Source organism: Homo sapiens, chromosome 14, assembly GCF_000001405.40.
Source record: "Homo sapiens chromosome 14, GRCh38.p14 Primary Assembly".
Classification (NCBI taxonomy): domain Eukaryota; kingdom Metazoa; phylum Chordata; class Mammalia; order Primates; family Hominidae; genus Homo; species Homo sapiens.
The window spans coordinates 90,809,858-90,828,186 of record NC_000014.9 but is presented as its reverse complement, the minus strand read 5'-3'; the positions used below and the strand labels follow the sequence as shown (position 1 = coordinate 90,828,186).

Sequence of the window (18,329 nt, the reverse complement as noted above, 5' to 3'; positions counted from 1 at the left end):
CCGTTCGATTCCAGAAAGCCGCGCCGGCCCCAGTCCCCATGGGCTGAAGGCAGGTTGAGTTCTTCCCCAGGTCTGCGAGCCTCGAAGGCTTCTTTCAGACAGCAGACCCCTTAGAAGCGCAAGGCTGCTTTCTGACAAAGAATCAAGTGTTCCTTTCAACCAGCCAAGGGACTGGTTTTCTCGCTGACCCTTTGACAGGTATGTTCCCGGGATTTTGCTGGGACCTTCATCTTCCCCTCCCTACGTCCGTGACACATCTGGCTTCCCACTCGTTTCAGTCGTGTATTCCGTGGAGTTTTCTCTTGCTTCGCAGTAGATGGACTTCTGAAGCCCCACCTTACTGTTAAATGCCAGTGATCATCTCCCCCCACAGCTAACTCGGGAATTAGTCCACTGACACCCCCAGAGAGGGGACACGCCTTTCACAAGGTCACACGGCAGGTCAGTTACAGAGATGAAAATCAAATCCAGGTTTCCTAACTTCAAGAGTTTTTTCAGATGCCTTATTATTATTATTCGTTTTATTTTTATTTTTCATTTTTTATTTTTTTGAGATGGAGTCTCACTCTGTCACCCAGGGTGGAGTGCAGTGGAGTGATCTTGGTTCACTGCAATCTCTGCTTCCCGGGTTTAAGCGATTCTTCTGCCTCAGCCTCCCGAGTAGCTGGGATTACAAGTGCCCACCACCACACCCGGCTAATTTTTGTATTTTTAATAGAGACGGGTTTCATCATGTTGGCCAGGCTGGTCTCGAACTCCTGACCTCAGGTGATCCACCCGCCTCGGCCTCCCAAAGTGCTTGGGACTACAGCTGTGAGCCATCTCACCTGGTAATTATTATTATTTTTTTTTTAATTTGCTTCCTGAGAGCTCAGAAAGGAACCTCAGCTGTATGGGAGCACCCATATACCAATCCCATTCCAGCCACTCTCACTTTGACAGGACAGAATCAACGACCAGAGCCCAGGACCTCCTTGACTAGCACTCTCCTCTTACAAATAAGGAAACTGAAGGGTACCTGATCATGAACAAGCTGATGGGCAGCACTTGACCCAGACCTTTTACTTCTTACCCCTCCACCCCAGTTTGGACTCCCAAATGTGGGGAGGAATGGAATGCCCTACCAGTCCCCAGGGAATGGTTCATGCAGTCAGCATGGTTTTAGTACCTTTAGCATTTGATTTGGGAGAAAGATAATAACCAGAAGTGTCTGTATGCCTCACCAGCTGTCCAGCAGATCCCATAAACCTTCACCCCCAACCCTTCTGACCACCAAGTGCTTTGCTGCAGGAAAGGAGACCAGATTGTTGGGTTTTTCTCATCTGATGGTCGGGGGTGATCTGGGACTGCATATGTCTGAATACTGGGACCCTATTTTGAGTGCAAGAGTTTTGAAAACCCAGGACCACTTTGTTAGATGGTGAGGGTTGGTGAGCAGACTGGACCTGAGATCCTTTTTCAAGGCTTGGCTTGGGGGCAACATTCTCCAGGAAGACTTACTGGAGCACCCACCACAGTTAATTCCTGGCGTTCCTCTGGGTCCGGCTGCAGAGCTGTTGCTCACTTCTTTCCCCCACTAGACTGTGAGTTCCTTGAGGGATGGGACCATACCCTACACAATATTGTATCACTAAGGCCTAACACTGTGTCCGGCACATAGTAGGTACTCAATAAACGTTTGTTGAATTGAACTGTGGAAACCTTGCACCCTATTGGCCTTGTGCAGGGGAAGATCACTCACAATTCCTCACTGAAGCAGATCCTGTGTCTATCAGGCTCCTTCACACAAAATGAGAATTAGTTTCTTTTTTTCACAGTAACGTGTCCGAAGTGCAAACTTCAAACCTGTTTGCTGATACAACTCCCCAGGAACAACCAGGTCCCTTGTGCCCACCTAGTTCGTGATTTCTCTTTAAAACTCCTGATGTCAGCTGGGCGTGGTGGCTCACACCTGTAATCCCAGCACTTTGGGAGGCTGAGGTGGACAGACCACTTGAGGTCGGGAGTTCGAGACCAGACTGGCCAACATGGTGAAATCCCGTCTCTACTAAAAATACAAAAATTAGGCAGGCGTGGTGGCATATGCCAGTAATCTCAGCTACTTGGGAAGGTAAGGGAGGAGGATCACTTGAACCCCAGAGGCAGAAGTTGCAGTGAGCCAAGATTGTGCCACTGCATTCCAGCCTGGGTGACAGAGCAAGACTTTAATCTCAAAAAACAAACAAACAAACAAACTCCTGATATGTGAATCAACAACATCATTTAAATCAAACCATTCTGCCAGGCGCAGTGGCTCACACCTGTAATCCCAGCACTTCGGGAGGCCGAGGTGGGCAGATCACCTGAGGTCAGGAGTTCAAGACCAGCCTAGCCAACATGGTGAAACCCTGTCTCTACTAAAAAATGCAAACATTAGCTGGGCATGGTGGCAGATTCCTGTAATCCCAGCTACTTGGGAGGCTGAGGCAGGGAGAATTGCTGGAACCCAGGAGGCGGAGGTTGCAGTGAGCTGAGATCAAGCCACTGCACTCCAACCTGGGTGACAGAGTGAGACTCCATCTAAAAAAAAAAAAAAATTAAATAAATAAAACCATTCCACGTGTTTTCTTCTGTGCCTGGTCTGCTAGGAAGCTCAGAAATCAGTCTAGCCTTATGCTGAGGAACAGTCAGTCTCCTCCCTGTTGGCAGATACACCTTTCTCCCCCGTATCTGAATAGTTTCCCATCTTTACTTTGATGTTCATTTACAGATATAGGTGGGTATTTTATCACAAACCCAGTCTATGCCTTTTTTGGAGAAGATAGGACAGGTGGGGTACAGGGTAACACGGAAGTGTCCCCAGAACTCTGAGTGTGAGGAAAACACTCCTGAAGATTCCTATTACAGGCAGGGCATCACAGCTCATGCCTGTACTGCCAGCACTTTGGGAGGCCAAGGTGGGTGGATCACTCAAGCTTAGGAGCTCAAACCAGCCTAGGCCACAAAGCAAGACCCCCATCTCTACAAAATTAAAAAAAGTTAGCTGGACATGGCGGCGCTACTTGGGAGATTGAAGCAGGAGGATTGGTTGAGCCCAGGAGTTCAAGGCTGCAGTGAGCTATGATGGTGCCACTGCATGCCAGCCCAAGAGACACAAAGCAAGACCCTGTCTCTAAAAAAAACAAAGAAAGAAAGAAAGAAAAAGGGCAGACACGGTGGCTCATGCCTGTAATCCCAGCACTTTGGGAGGCCGAGGCGGGCGGATCACGAGGTCTGGAGTTCGAGATCATCCTGGCCAACATGGTGAAACCCTGTCTCTACTAAAAATACAATAAATGGCCGGGCATCTTGGCTCACGCCTGTAATCCTAGCACTTTGGGAAGCCAAGGTGGGCGGATCACGAGGTCAGGAGATCGAGACGATCCTGGCTAACACGGTGAAACCCCATCTCTATTAAAAATACAAAAAATCAGCTGGGCGTGGTGGCGGGCACCTGTAGTCCCAGCTACTCAGGAGGCTGAGGCGGGAGAATGGTGTGAACCCGGGAGGTGGAGCTTGCAGTGAGCCGAGATCGCACCACTGCATGCCAGCCTGGGCAACAGAGCGAGACTCCGTCTCAAAAAAAAAAAAGCTGGGCATGGTGGCTCATGCCTGTAATCCCAGCACTCTGGAAGGCTGAGGTGGGAGGTTGCTTGAGGTCAGGAGTTCAAGACTACCCTGGTCAACATAGTGAGACCCTGTCTCTAAAGTAAAAAACAGAACAACAACAACAAAAAACCCTCCTGTTACACAAAAGTTACTATTTTACAGGCTTAAACCAAAATCAGCTTAATTGTTATGGTGTCTACAGCCTGTGCAAGGTTGGAATGTATGGAGATAAGAAGTAAAAATTCACAGAGCTGGTCCAGCCTCATTCTGGGCAGGGGGAGATAGGCTTTGGACATGTGGATATTCTCAACTGTGGAGAAATGGGTTCAACAGCGGGACTGATATTGGGGGAACCAGCCCCCAATATTTCAACGTACATTCTTTCTATTTTCCCTAAGTGTCGGCAGGTCTGAGAAATAAAGAGAAAGTGTACAAAGAGAGGAATTTTACAGCTGGGCCTCCGGGGGTGACGTCACCTATCGGTAGGTCTGTGATGTCCGCCTGAGCCGCAAAACCAGCAGGTTTTTATTAAGGACTTTAAAAGGGGAGGGGGTGTATGAACAGGGAGTAGGTCACAAAGATCATATGCTTTAAAAGGCAATGAAGATCACAAGGCAAAGGGCGAAGCAAAGATCACAAGGCAAAGGGCAAAATTAGAATTACTGATGAGGCTCTATGTTCAGCTGTGCACATATTGTCTTGATAAACATCTTAAAACAACAGAAAACAGTGTTCAAGAGCAGAGAACCGGTCTGACCACAAATTTACCAGGGTGGGATCTTTTCCCCACCCTAATAAGCCTGAGGGTACTGTACTGCAGGAGACCAGGGCATATTTCAGTCCTTATCTCAACCATGTAAGACAGACACTCCCAGAGTGGCCGTTTATAGACCTCCCCCCAGGAATGCATTCCTTCCCCAGGGTATTAATTATTAATATTCCTTGCTGGCAAAAGAATTCAGCGATATCTCTCCTACTTGCACATCTGTTTATAGGCTCTCTGCAAGAAGAAAAATATGGCTGTATTTTGCCCGACCCCACAGGCAGTCAGACCTTATGGTTGTCTTCCCTTGTTCCCTGAAAATCGCTGTTATTCTGTTCTTTTTCAAGGTGCACTGATTTCATATTGTTTAAACACACATGTTTTACAATCAGTTTATACAATAGTGGTCCTGAGGTGACGTACATTCTCAGCTTACAAATATAACAGGATTAAGAGATTAAAGTAAAGACAGGCATAAGAAATTATAAGAATATTATTTGGGAACTGATAAATGTCCATGAAATCTTCATAATTTGTGGTCAGAGATTGCAGTTAAGACAGGCATAAGAAATTATAAAAGTATTAACTCTGGGAACTGATAAATGTCCATGAAATCTTCACAATTTATGTTCCTCTGCCGCAGCTCCAGCCGGTCCCTCCATTCGAGGTCCCTGACTTCCTGCAACAGACTGAGATGGCCTTCTGAGCTTTTCCAGGGCTGACGACCACCTTCTTGATACCTTCCCCTCTCTCGTTCTGAATCCGTGCCCACCAGGTAAGTTAAGGATGATTTTAGCTTTGCATGCTTCCTGACACTAAGAGTGGGGTCTCCTGATTATGAGATACTGGGGGTTGGCTTCTACTGCAAATGAGAGTTGGCATGGGATTGAAACAGTGGTCTCTGGTGGGCTTCATTAGTGGGACTAGGCAGAGCACCCTGGAACACTGACATATTTCTAGACTTGCAAAGCTGAAACTTTAGACCATGGTTTCTACACCTGACTCATGCTACCCAGGGCCCTCCCTGAGCGGCCAACTAGCCTTCTCCATCTGGCTGTCCCTCTCAGATGGCAACAGATGGTAAATTAGAAGCACCAGCTTTGGTGCCTATAGTGGAGTTGCCGAGCAAGTTTCCCACTGCTTTGTCCCTACAATGGGAATCATAGTTCCAGGCAGCTGGAAGTGGCTCTTTGGAAGAAAGTTAGGGGACCCTCAGGGAACTCCAAGGGGGAGGGGCACAGAGCCATCCTGAATCCATCCTCAGAAACCCCGCTCAAGACAATGATGGCACTGATGCAGCTTTTTTTTTTTTTTTTTAAGACGGACTCTGGCTCTTGTTGCCCAGACTGGGGTGCAATGGCGCAATCTTGGCTCACCATAACCTCCGCCTCCTGGGTTCAAGCGATTCTCCTGCGTCAGCCTCCCAAGTAGGTGGGATTACAGGCATGCGCCACCTCGCCTGGCTAATTTTGTATTTTTAGTAGAGACCGGGTTTCTCCACGTTCATCAGGCTGGTCTCAAATTCCTTCACCTCCCAAAGTGCTGGGATTACAGGTGTGAGCCACTGTGCACAGCCTAATGCAGATTTTATAAACAATAACCTTGTCCATTAAAGCAAACCTGCAGACTCGAGGTCTGATAAACCTGGAGGTTGGATAATTCAAGTGTAGCACAGTCATGCCATGGAATATTACACACCAGAGAAAAGAAGACACGACGCCATTTTTAGAAAGCTCAAAACAAGTGAAACCAAACGATATCGTGTATAGCAGGGGTCCTCAACCCCTGGACCACAGACTGGTACTGGCTAGTGGCCCATTAGGAACCAGGCCGCACAGCAGGAGGTGAGTCGTGGGTGAGCAAGCGAAACTTCACCTGTATTTACAACTGCTCCCCATGGCTCACAGTACTGCCTGAGCTCCGCCTCCTGTCAGATCAGCGGCAGCATTAGAGTCTCATAGGAGCACAAACCCTGCTGTGAACTATGCATGTGAGGGATCTAGGTTGCACACTCCTTATGAGAATCTAATGCCTGTCTCTTATCACCCCCAGATGGGGCCGTCTAGTTGCAGGAAAACAAGCTCAGGGCTCCCACTGATTCTACATGATGGTGAGTTTCATAATTATTTCATTATATATTATAAGGCAATAAGAATAGAAATAAAGTGCACAATAAATGTAATGCGCTTGAATCAGCCCAAAACCATCCCCCCACCTCCCCCTACCCATGGAAAAATTGTCTTCCATGAAACTGGTCCTTGGTGCCAAAAAGCTTGGAGACCTCTGGTGTATAGGGTTACATGTTGTACTCACCTTATAAGAAGTGGCAGAAAGCAAGTTTAGTGATAAAACTAGCTAAAAAACAAAGCAAGGGTATAACAAACACAAAAATCACAATGTAGTTAACTCTGGGATAGCCAATAGTTTCCCTGGTGTTCATCTTATTATTTTATTATGTAGGTGCCCCTTGATTCTGGGTATTTTTGTATGTATCAAATATTACATAATTAAAAGCCAGCCAAAGCCAGCTATCATGACTGCACTCTCATTACTCACGCCCCGGGCCTGCAAGCTGTGGTGTGGTTTCCAGGTTCCCCGTGAGCATCGCCGCAGCGACCGCCCACAGCACCAGCTGCTGATGGCTCACACCTCCTGGGGCTGCAAGGCCTGTCCCTGGCTCTGGCAGCGAGATGACAGGGCTGTTGCCCCGGCAGGGTGAGGCCAAAGGTTAGAGGTGATCATTCTTTCTGCTGGCACACTGAGGCCCCTTGTGGATCCCCGTTTCTGGGTTTCTGTCTCCCCCTTCAACCTGCCCATCGGCTTCAGACAGTGGATCTCCACTTCCCTGTGGGGCTGTTCACCAGGATGCTCACCTGCCCAATCCCAGCCCCTCCACCTTCCTTCAGCTCATTCATTCATTCAACCTGTATTGACTGAGTACTCACCATGCATCAGGCACCGTTCTCAGTGCTGGGAAATGCTGTTGTGAACAGAACCACACACAAATCCCTGCCCTCCTGGGGCTTTTGCTCTAGTGAGGGGAGGCAGATAATACACACTCAGTTAATAACCATAGATCAGGTGGGACAAGAAGAAAACTACAGCAGGGTGAGGGGGTAAGGGTGAAGGGAATGAGGGGGAGCAAAGGTGGACAGAGTGGTCGGGGAAGGTCTCTGTGAGGATGTGACCTCCCTCACTGCCTTCAGAAGGAAGGTAGAGAGGGACCACATGGGTTTCTGGGGAAGAACCTTCCAGGCCAGGTGAGGGAGGAGAAAGGGCAAAGTTATGACCCCTCCTCCCACCAGTGTCTCCTTCCCCTAAGCTCTCTCCATCCTACCCTGGCCACAATCCCTCTCTCATTCTCTCTCTCTGTTTTCTCTCTCACGCCCGCTCCCTTGCTGCTCACCTCTTCCCTTATTCTGATTGCACAGGGAATCCAGGCTTTCGGAGATGAGGACTGGGAGGTCTCCAGACCACACAAGCCCCCTATTTGCACTGGCCTTTGGAATGAGCCTACAGCCTGCCTCCACTCCTCCTGGTACCCCAGCTGTTCTCAAGGAATTGGCCAGAAGTCAGACTCCTTTCCCAGCTGTCCTCCACTTCTTTCCTGCCAGGCACCCTAGGCCCCATGGTGGGATTGGGCCTATAGGCTGTGATTTTCCACATCCTTGTCAAACCTGTACTACCTGAATGCCTAGAGGAAAAGATACTGCCTTAATTACTATTATGAGCACGAATGCCTTCTTACTCTTGAATTTAGCTGAGTGCTGCCTGCAGGTAAAGTCACCTGGAGAACCATCCAGGGACTTTGTCCTCATAGGATCACTTGTACCTCTCTAGGGTTGCTGTGGCAGCTGCCAGAGTGGCCCGGGCCATGGATGAGGGCCAGGATATGGAAAGCAGAGGCAGAAATGAGCCCAGAGGCCACAGGGCCCAGCTCTCAGGCTCCCACGGTGAAGCCCAGAGGGTTCCTTCTCTCTCCTGCTTCAGGCTGACAATGTTTGTCAGCCTCTGCTCCCAACCCCTATACCCAGCAACCTCTGCGCCCAAGCACATGGTCTGAAGAATATTCTGGTGTTGGGCCCCTGTAGGTGGCCTGCCGTGACGGTGGAAGCCTGGAACGTAGTGACATGGATTCATCATTGGGATGTTTCATCCTAAGGAAACGCACTCGCAGGTGGCTGTAGACCTTGGGGACTCCAGCCTCGTTCATTTAAGCTCCCACAATGTTCCAGGCCCTATGCGGCTTGCAAGGGGCAGAGAGACACAGAATGACAGCCGACATGGCACTCTATTGGTGCACTGGCACTGTTTTTTTTTTTGAGATGGAGTCTTGCTCTGTCACCCAGGCTGGAGTGCAGTGGCATGATGGAGATGCAACCTCTACCTCATGGGTTCAAGCGATTCTCCTGCCTCAGCCTCCCGAGTAGCTGGGACTACAGGTGCCCACCACCATGCCCGGCTAATTTTTTTGTATTTTTAGTAGAGACAGGGTTTCACCATGTTAGCCAGAAAGGTCTCGATCTTCTGACCTCGTGATCCACCCAAACTGCTGGGATTACAGGCGTGAGCCACAGAGCCTGGCATGCTGGCACTGTTCTCTGTGCCCTACCTGTATTTCCTCATTTCCTCCTCAACGAGCTCCAGGGGGAGGTATCACAGCCAAGAAATGGAGGCCTGGGGATGTTAAATGCCATGGCCCAGGCAGCATCCGTCCTCATGAAGCCACCTTATCAGGTAGGGAGGCAGACAGGTGGCCCTCATCATTTACCTTCCAGTGTGGCAACTGAGGCAGTGTATGCGTTAGTCATGATTAAGACCCTGCCCCTTCCCAGAGGGAGATGGCAAGTGCTGTCACACAAGGTCTGTCAGATGTTGAGCAAGGCTGCCCAGTAACCTTTGGCCCGTGTCTGAAAGAAGGCACAGGAATCTGTCTCCTGGTCCAGATGGAGAACATTCCCAGCAAATCTGGAGAGGCAGACTGGAGTTGGGAGAACAGGAGGGTGTCAGGAGAGAGGAAACATCTCCTGTGGAGATTTCTTCTCCTTCCCTTCCTGCTCCCTCTTGGTGGGAGCTAAGGGCCAGGGCACTAAAGGGTCCCCTGTTGAAACTCTAACGTTCTAGTTCCCCTTTCCCTGGGCTGTTCACAGTGTCCAGGGCCTGTCAGCTCAACTTCCATCACCTTGGCAGTCCCTGAGGCACCTGAAAGTGATACTGGTCACATCAGAACACATCTCCTTATCTTTCCTCCTCACCTCTCTTAAATGTCTGTGATTCAGCCTCCTCATTGGTAAACTGAGGTCCACAGTGTGTGTTCTTCATCAACTCCGGTGGTGGGGGAGTTGTGGTGGGGATAAGAACCTGCGTGTGACTGCTCTTGGAAAGTTGGAGTAAGGGCACCCAGAAGGAATGACGACGACCCCTCAGTGCCTCCTTGTGACTGCGGGCGGGCTACGGAACCTTCCAGACTGACCGCTTCACTCTCAAATGCAGGACCCAGAATCCAACACTGCCACCACCACAGCTATTTCCCTGGCAGTATTCTCAACACTGCAGTCACAGTGATAGTCCAAAGTGTAGGTCTGATCATGCCACTCTTCCGTGAAAAGCCCTGCAGGGCTGCTCCATGTCACCAGAGTAAAAGTCAAAGTTTTTTTTTTTTTTTTTGAGACGGAGTCTCTCTCTGTTGCCCAGGCTGGAGTGCAGTGCTGCCATCTCAGCTCACTGCAAACTCCGCCTCCCGGGTTCACACCATTCTCCTGCCTCAGCCTCCCCAGCAGCTGGGACTACAGGCGCCTGCCACCACGCCCGGCTAATTTTTAAAAATATTTTTAGTAGAGACGGGTTTCACCATGTTAGCTAGGACGGTCTCGATCTTCTGACCTCGTGATCCGCCCACCTCGGCCTCCCAAAGTGCTGGGATTACAGGCGTGAGCCACCGTGCCCAGCCAAAAGCCAAGGTCTTATAATGGCCCACCAGGCACTACACAGAACTCCCCCCAACCTCTCAGAGTTCATCTCCTGCCTCGGCCCCTCTCCTTCGCTCCACCCAGCCCCTCTGGCCTCTGCCATTTCTCCATCCCACCCAGTGTGCTCTAACCCCAGAGCCTTCGCACTTGTGGTGTTCTCTGCCTGGGATACTCCTCCCCCAGAGATATCCTCATGGCTCCCCCTTAGTTTCTTCAAGTCTAATGCCACCTCCGTGAGGCCATCCCTGACTGCTCCATTTTAAATGGCAACACTTGCTCAGGCTGAAGTGCGTTCACTGCTCACTGCAGCCTCCACCTTCTGGGCTCAAGCAATCATCCTGCCTCAGCCTCCTGAGTAGCTGGGATTACAGGCATGAGCCACCCGCCTGTCCCAACTCTTTATGTTCCTCACTGAACCCTTCCCTGTTTCTTCAAATAGCCATTTTTACAGTCTAGTTTACTATTTTATTTTGCTTATTTTTCCCCCAAACTGGAATGTAAGCTCTCTCAAGCCAGGAATTTTGTTTTTTTAGCTCACAATTCTATCTCTGGCACCTAAAGCAGCGCCCAGCACATAGTAGGTGATCACTAGACAGTTGATTCACTGAGAGAACACAGAGGGACACCTCCCTAGGTCTCAGTCTAGGTGGCCAAGACAGGAGGCCCCACCAGTGACTGTGCCTTCCCCTCAGGGGGTCCGAGAGCTGGCGTGTGAGAGTGGCAGCCCCTGCCTGGCTCCGCTCAGCCATCTAGGGCACCCCTGGCAGGTGCTGTGCCTTGCCTGGGATGGAGGAGTCTCCGTCCACCTCTGGCTGGGTAGGGGCTAAGGCTGCGGGGCAGAGGGGCATCTGCTAAGGGGCACAGGCCAACCGGGCCCCAGGGAACCGCTGGCCACCTGAGATGGCAGGACAAACTCGGGCAGGCCTCCCCCCACCCCTCACACCTGGCTCACTGGTCCCACCGGGCGGTGACCTTCCCCAGGGTCACTGCCCTTTCTTGGCCCTACTCCTGGGGATCCAACCCGCTCCCAGGCTGTCGCTAGCTCCCTCCCGATCCTCTCCCTCCCCTTCATCCTGCCCAGACCCCTACCCCACCAGACCCCTCACCCGCCCTTGGTCAGATCTCTCTCCTACCCCGCTCCCCCACCCCCATCCCCACTTCCCCTCGGTCTTCACCCCGCCCCAGACACCCCCAGTCCCTCTCCCTGTCCTCCATGCCCACCCCGCCTTTCCTCCCTCGGGCCCCTGTCTCCCGCCCTAGCCCCCGCCCCTGCCCCAGCCCTGGCTCCGGCCCCGGTCAGTGCTGCGGCTCCGGCCCTGGCCGGCAGGGGCCGCTCCTCGCGGCGCCCGGGGCCCCGCCGCGCCCGCCGCCGCCGCCCGCCTCCCCGCCCCTTCCCCAGCCGGCGCTCCCGTTACGCCGCGGAGCCGGGAGCCGGAGCCCGAGCCCGCGGCGGCGGCGGGAGGCGGCGAGGGGGCGCCGCGGCGGCGGCGGTGGGGCCTGCGGGGCGGGCGGCCGGGCCCGGCCAGGCCGCGATGGCGACCAAGAAGGCAGGCTCGCGGCTGGAGACGGAGATCGAGCGCTGCCGCTCCGAGTGCCAGTGGGAGCGGATCCCTGAGCTCGTCAAGCAGCTGTCGGCCAAGCTCATCGCCAACGGTACGCTCCGGGCGCGCCGGCCTGGGCTGCGGGGGGCGCCGCGGCCTCCGCGGGAACGGGCCCCCGAGGCGCGGCCGGGCGCGGGGCGCGGGCAGGGGCGCGGCCGGGCCGCGAGGGAGCTGCGGCCCAGGGGATGTGCGCGGGACCGGGGCCTGGGGGAGCCCGGGTGCCCCGGAGTCACGCGGTGTGGGGGCCCGGGGGGGCGCCAGGGGCTGTCCCGGCGCCTGGGGTTCAAGCGTGCAGGGCGGGCTTCTGCGGAGTCTGGGGTGTCCGGGGGTCTCAGCGAGTCCGCTGCTCCACTGGGACCACAGGAGGTCAGGGGCCGGCCTGGGGCTTCCAAGAAGTTGGAGGTGATGGGGTGAGGGGGTCCCTCAGGACATGGGTGAAGTCCACAGTGTGTGTATGGTGTGCTCAGGGAATCAGGATGTGTTTATGGGGTCTTGAGAATGGGGTGTTGTACATAGACCCCTGGGGAATCTGGTTTGTAAACATATGGTGTTTAAGGGGTTCTGGGTGGAAGCGCAGACTCGAGGTGTGTGGGGTGGTGGTAGAAAGCAGGCTGGGATGTGCGTCCTGGCGTTCGGAGAAGTAGCATCAAGGCTGCCGACCTAGAGAGGTCAGGGTTGGGAATAGAGGAGAAATAGAGTCAGGGGGACCTGGAGGGAGAATATTGTGGAGCGAGATGGGAATGTGGTTGAAGAATGTCGGGAGATGGAGTTGGGTGGGTGAGGGGTTGGTGCCTGGGCCAGAAGGGGGTCTGAGGCAGCCTCTGAGTAGGAGCCTGGTGCCTGGAGTTGGTTCATGACCCCTTTAACTGGATTGGTTCTTGTACCCAATCAAATAAAATTGCATCCAGAATCCCATTCCAGTGCACAGCTCCACGTGGCCTTATTTGTTTTGGAAGCGAGTATCTTTAATATTTGCTTGTCTTTTAGTACCCGCCTAAAGCGCAGGCACCAGCACACCGTGGCCAGAGGGCAGAGGGTTTGTCTCATTTCATCCTGGGCTTCCCCAGGCCCAGTGAGCACATGTTGGCTGAACAAATGAATGAAAGAGTGAATGAATGGATGGCGGGGCTGCTCTAAGAAAGGACATCTGCACTATTTTCAACCTTCTCACTTCAGACTACCCAGAAAGGAGAGGGATGTCAGGTGTCCTCCTGGAGGGTGGTTTATGTTTGTGTCCTATGGTATTAGTGCCTGGAAATTAGAACTTGGTTTTGCGCACTCTCAATGATGGATGCATGCTGTGGGCAGGTACCTTCTGGGTGAACGCAGGTGCCATGGTGTGTCAGGGGCATGGAGATAGCACCGACCCTACACGGGCTCCACTTGGTGGAAAATGTGGACCCTTCTCAGTTATGTCAGCCTTTGAGGAGATGGTGTTCAGTGCCCTGGGCCCCAGAGGCAGCTTGCCTTTGCCCTCCGTGTCGGGCTCACCTGCTTCTCCGCTTACCTGCAGCATTTTCTCTTTTCCTCTCGGAGTTGCACAGTCCTGGGTCTACTTTGTGGCTTCCCAGCGGTGTAGGCATAATGACACCTTCTGTGCAGGTTGATTTTAGGATTAAATGGGTTTATTTGTGAGCCTCCTGGTCTTTTTTCTTCTGAATCCACTTGTTTCCTGCTGTCTTTGCTTATTCATTCACCCAATATTTGCGTGCCCACCTGTGCCAGTCACAGAACAGTGGTGAACAGCACTGACCAAGCCCCTGCCCTTATGCCCTCACCCTGCTCTCAGGAGGCAGGTGATAAGCAAATATGGAAATAAATAAACAGCACAGCTTCAGATAGTGAGAAGTGATTGAAACAAAACAGATGAGTTAATGTGATTGAGAATGACAGGCAGATGAAGGGGGACTCAAGCTATGATGGTCCCTGGAATGAGAGGGTAGATGGGTTTTTGGTGGCCTGGGCCCTTCCTATTCACCTTCATGGCCCCCGAAAGGCTTAGCTCTCTTCCCAGGGGCTGCTCCCAATGTCCTAAGATGCAGTCATGAGTGGGGCTTGGGGATCGGGGTTTGCGGGGGCACTGTGGTCCATGGGTCTGTGTGCAAGTTCAGTTTGGGGAAACTCATGGGACATAGATTTTTGTCCTAGAGACTCACATGGTGAGTGGTAGCCATTGATGGCAAAAAGTTACCCGGACTTGAAAAGATCAGACAGAGTGAGTGCTCAGGAAAATAAAACGATGAAGCCAAGAAAAAGATGAAACTAAACTAGAATGATTGTGGCTCTCCTTTGGTGTTTGCAAGAGGGGCCTTCCCTCCGTTTGACTGGTGAGGCCTTCCCACTCTCGGGCTGGTAGAGGGACTTCTTCCTGGCTTTTGGGGGCACCGGCTCCCCCATAGATTCTCGGGTGCATGAGCACAAGTTCTGGGCAGATTTTGCAAAATCCTGAAGTTAAAGCATCTTCTGCTTAGAATAAGGAAAGCAAGTGAATGTCACGTTTGTCACACTAAGACAGTTACCATGAAAACAACCACAGGCGAAAAAAAAAAAAAAAGAATACAGTGTTTGGAGCCAGCCAGATGGGGGACTGATTCTTGTGACCTTGGCCACTTCTTGACTTTGTGACATTGGCCAAATCACTTAACCACTCTGAGCCTCAGTTTTCTCATTTTAGAACGGGATTTAAATGACTTACCTTGCAGGGGTTGTTATGAGGGTTAAAGTAGCTAATGTCTCTCAGGGCCAGCCACTCATTCCTTCCTTCCTTCCACAAAGATTGAGTACCTGCTCTGTGCTAGCCACTGTTTTAGGCACTGGAAATACACTGGTAAACAAAACAGACAAAAATGGCAAAAATCTCAGCCCTTATGAAACTCACATCCCAGTAGGAAAGGGGCAGGGAGACAGATAATCAATATAATCATTAGGTAAAGTTTACAGGGTGTCAGATGGTGGTCAGTGCTATCAAAGAGAAAAAGGGGAAGGTGAATAGGTGCTTTGGAGTGGGCTGGGAGTGGGGGTTGCAGGAACTACTAGTTTAAATAGGGTGGCCCTGAAAGGTGTCCCCAAGAAGGCAACATCTGAGATGAGACCTAAGGAGGTGGAGAAGCATGTTCTAGGGAGGGAACTTCATGGGTAGAAAGTGGCGGGGCCTGATAGGCCGAGGGTAAGGCTTTGGCTTTCCTGTGAGTGAGACAGGGCTATGGGAGAGTTCTGAGCAGAGGAATCCCTCCTTCCCAAAGCTCCCACTTGTAGTGGGCTTCCCCACCCAGCAGCATTAGCTCCTTACGGGAAGGAAGCGTGGCAGCCCCTCCCCGTTAAGGACTCTAAATAGTGGACACTTTCAGAGTGTACTGCCCCAGCCTGGCTCCTTTGAGATGAATTGGTTTAGATGTTTTGCCAAGAGGTGGATAAGGAAGAAAAGGACAAATGCCAAGTTGAAAAGTGAACCCAGAGGTCTGTCTTCTTCCTCGTACCCTACCGTAGTCACCATTTTCATTGCACCATCTCAAAAAACCCAAATGTGGTGGAACCTAGCTGTGCACCAGACCCGGGTGAGTCCCACTGAGAGAATGGTCACCTAAGTTAAGGGTGGGGGTGGGAGACAGTCCCCCGGAAGCCTAGGCCCTCGTGGGCTGAAGTGTGGCCTGGGGATGAGTGGCAGGGGCACCACCGGGAACCTGTGAGAAATGCGGATTCTTGGGCCGGCTTCAGACGTGCAGGGTTAGAATCCACATCTCAGCAAGGTGTCCAGGGGTTTGGGGGACTCAGAGAAGCCTGAGGTGCCCTGGCTTGGAGCTGAGGCAGCAGCCTGAGCGCTCAGGGATAAAGACAGAGCTGCACATCAGCTTCATGTGGGCTCACAGGTCGGTCCTGGTCTCTGGGAGGACAGGCCCAGCTGTCCTCTCTCTACAGAATGTCACCCTCCAGCCTCCCAATGATGAGGTCACCACTGTGTGTGAAAGTGCAGTGACCTGGCACCGGGTCTAAAATTTGGACCTTACCTGTAGTGGCTAGGTGATCTCCAGCCAGGTTCTTAGCCTCTCGGAGCCTGCCTTTCCTCCCTGCTCAGCCAGCTCAGAATGCCCACTCTCAGGGCACGTGTGAGGATTCAGTGGGATGGTACCTGTCAGCCAGGGCACATGGTCATAATGGGGTTGGTTCCCTGCAGCTGACCCCTTGTGACCCTGGGCAAGGTAGGCCAGGTCCCAGCTGTCAGCCTGGCAGGGAAAAAAGAGAGTGGGGGACCAAGAAATGACACAGTTGAGCTAGTGCCCGGTCAAGACTCCCACCTATTGCAATGACAAACAGGCACATTGGAGGTCTGCGACTGTCCTGACGGACGGCTGCTCCCTTTTCTGAGGCAGTGTGGCTTCCCGCCTTCCCCAGCCTGTTAATCTTCTTAGGCAAGCTCGGCGACTGAGTTCACTTAGAAAGATTAGGCCCCAAATGGTAGCTTCTCCCTTAGGAGATCATTGCCTGTCGGATCCTATAAGATTTTGAGACATTTTAATTACCTCGTGGTGACGGGTAGGTAGGGAAATGGTGCCTGAAACAAAGAGTATTTCTGGGGCATAGTTTGGTAAGCAAATGTTTTCAGGCCATGAAGAAGAGGATGTGGAGATCTGTGTTGTTTTAAGCACGGGCATCCACAGTGATGTGGCTTCCCCTTGGTGGAGGGTGCAGGGTCCTGGGCTCCTAGACGACACCTGGTCATGCACACCCTCCTGTGAAGAAGAGGAGTCGGGGTGGACTATGGTCCTCCCTGGCTGGCCTGAGGGTCTTCTCTGGAAACAGGACTGAGGTTTAACTGAGAGTCACTGCTGTGGGGTGAGGCAGCCCCTGTTGTTTAGAGGTGGCTTCTTTGGACATACCTGGGGCATCACAGACTCCTGGGAGCCCAACTCCTCCCAGAATGTGGGGAAGGACACCAGTGAGATCTCTGGTGACCCACTATTATGGCCTTTCTGGGCCAGTCTTCCTGCTTTCAAACACTCTGTCCTCTTGTCATCAGAAGACCACACCTTTGTGGCAGACCATATGTCCTGATTTTTGGATTCAGAAGACTCATTTATTTGACAGTGACTGATTGATGGCACTGAGCTGGGATTGGGGCTCGTGGCCATGGTAGTCAGGGCAGAAGGATTTGGATTTCTTGTGGCTGTGCACAGTGGGGCTGGGGCTGTGCAGCTCGTCCTCAGCCTCATCCATCTGCTTGGTCTGGCCAACCTTTCCAGCATGTCCTTATGTCACCTGCTGCACTGCCTTCATTCCCCCGACTTCCCTCGGCTACTTTGGCCTCCTGGACCCTCCCACACACCTTGCTTATTGTCTGTGCACCTTTGCTCACGCTATTTGACTCTGGAATCCTCTCTGCAGATCAAAAGCCTACCCATCTGTCAAGGTCTGGTTCAAGTTTCTCCCAGCTGTCCTTTCATCACAGAAAAGGCTGTTTGCCTTACAGAAGACAATCATACAATGTTAGAACCAGAGAAGACCTTACAGATTATGCTGTGTAGCAGTTTTCAAACTGTGCTGTCAAGGAACCCCTCTGGGAACATGCTTTAGGGCTCTGGTGGTTGGGTGAGCAGGCCTCACTCGCTGGAGCAGTTACACTTTTCCTTAAGGTTTCCTTTGAAGGAAGGGCTAATACACTTTTAAAACAAAGAAGCTTGAAACCCATTGATGTAGTCCAACCTCTTATAGATGACAAAACAGTGCCAGAGAGGGAGATGTCTTCCTTAAAGCCACCAACCAGCAAGTGGCAGAAGCAAGCACAGTGGGTAAGAGCCCTGGCTTGGAGTTGGGTTGCTTGATTTCAAAGCATGGCTCACCTGCTTCCTATGGGGGGTAACCTTCAACTTGCAAAGCCCCCTTTGGTGACACAACATCCAAAACCCTTTTTCGGAAGCCCTTGGGGCCAGATGTATTTCAGAATGCAGAATTTTTTGAAACATGTTATGTTTACTGGGCATTATGTGACATTCCCAATGGGGTCTGGGGCGGCATTTTGTAATAAAATGGGTCAGTATTTCTGCATCAAAGCATATGAGCAGTCACTGCAAAAGGGAGAAATAGACTATAAATAGCCTCACATGGGTTCAGTTGAGGTTTCTGCCATCCCATAAATGATTAACAACAAAAAACAACTTTTGGTTTTTAGAGAGTCCTGGATTTCAGAAACTGTAGGTAAGGTATTATGAACCTGTAATAATAGTGCCAAACTTATAGGGAGGTTGTAAGGATCAAATGAAGAAAAAACCAAAATACCTAAAAGTGCTTCTTAGTGCCTGCATAGAGTGAGCCTTCACTAGCTACCAGCTGTTTTCTGTTGCTGGTGGTGGTGGGTGTTATCCACTCCCATCTCCC

General features: G+C 51.8%; 1 protein-coding gene and 1 long non-coding RNA gene across 5 annotated transcripts in view, besides 2 other annotated features; both read left to right on the top strand.

The window, feature by feature from the left end:
- On the top strand, window positions 13–8,114 carry LINC02321 (long intergenic non-protein coding RNA 2321). 2 transcript variants are annotated; one of them, NR_184259.1, is made up of 4 exons: window positions 13–198; window positions 5,034–5,165; window positions 6,443–6,500; window positions 7,822–8,114. It is a non-coding gene; the product is annotated as a long intergenic non-protein coding RNA 2321 (long non-coding RNA). The 2 variants fall into 2 exon arrangements; NR_184260.1 differs by lacking the exons at window positions 6,443–6,500; window positions 7,822–8,114 and adding an exon at window positions 5,711–6,033.
- Window positions 4,335–4,535: a silencer, noted in NCBI's record as "peak2229 fragment used in MPRA reporter construct". NCBI's record gives its function as "represses an SCP1 promoter by STARR-seq MPRAs in K562 erythroleukemia cells {active_cell/tissue: K562}" and the evidence as "EXISTENCE:reporter gene assay evidence [ECO:0000049][PMID:32103011]".
- Window positions 11,584–11,763: a silencer, noted in NCBI's record as "silent region_6013". NCBI's record gives its function as "represses an Ori minimal core promoter by ATAC-STARR-seq in GM12878 lymphoblastoid cells {active_cell/tissue: GM12878}" and the evidence as "EXISTENCE:reporter gene assay evidence [ECO:0000049][PMID:35858748]".
- Window positions 11,757–18,329, top strand: part of TTC7B (tetratricopeptide repeat domain 7B) — a 291,867-nt gene continuing 285,294 nt past the window's right edge. For all 3 annotated transcript variants that reach the window (NM_001320421.2, NM_001010854.2, NM_001401365.1), the window contains exon 1: window positions 11,757–12,012. Coding sequence is in view for 2 of the 3 variants with exons in the window: in NM_001010854.2 (NP_001010854.1) it covers window positions 11,892–12,012 (121 nt within the window). In the remaining variant the exon portion in view is untranslated. The remainder of the gene's footprint in view (window positions 12,013–18,329) is intronic.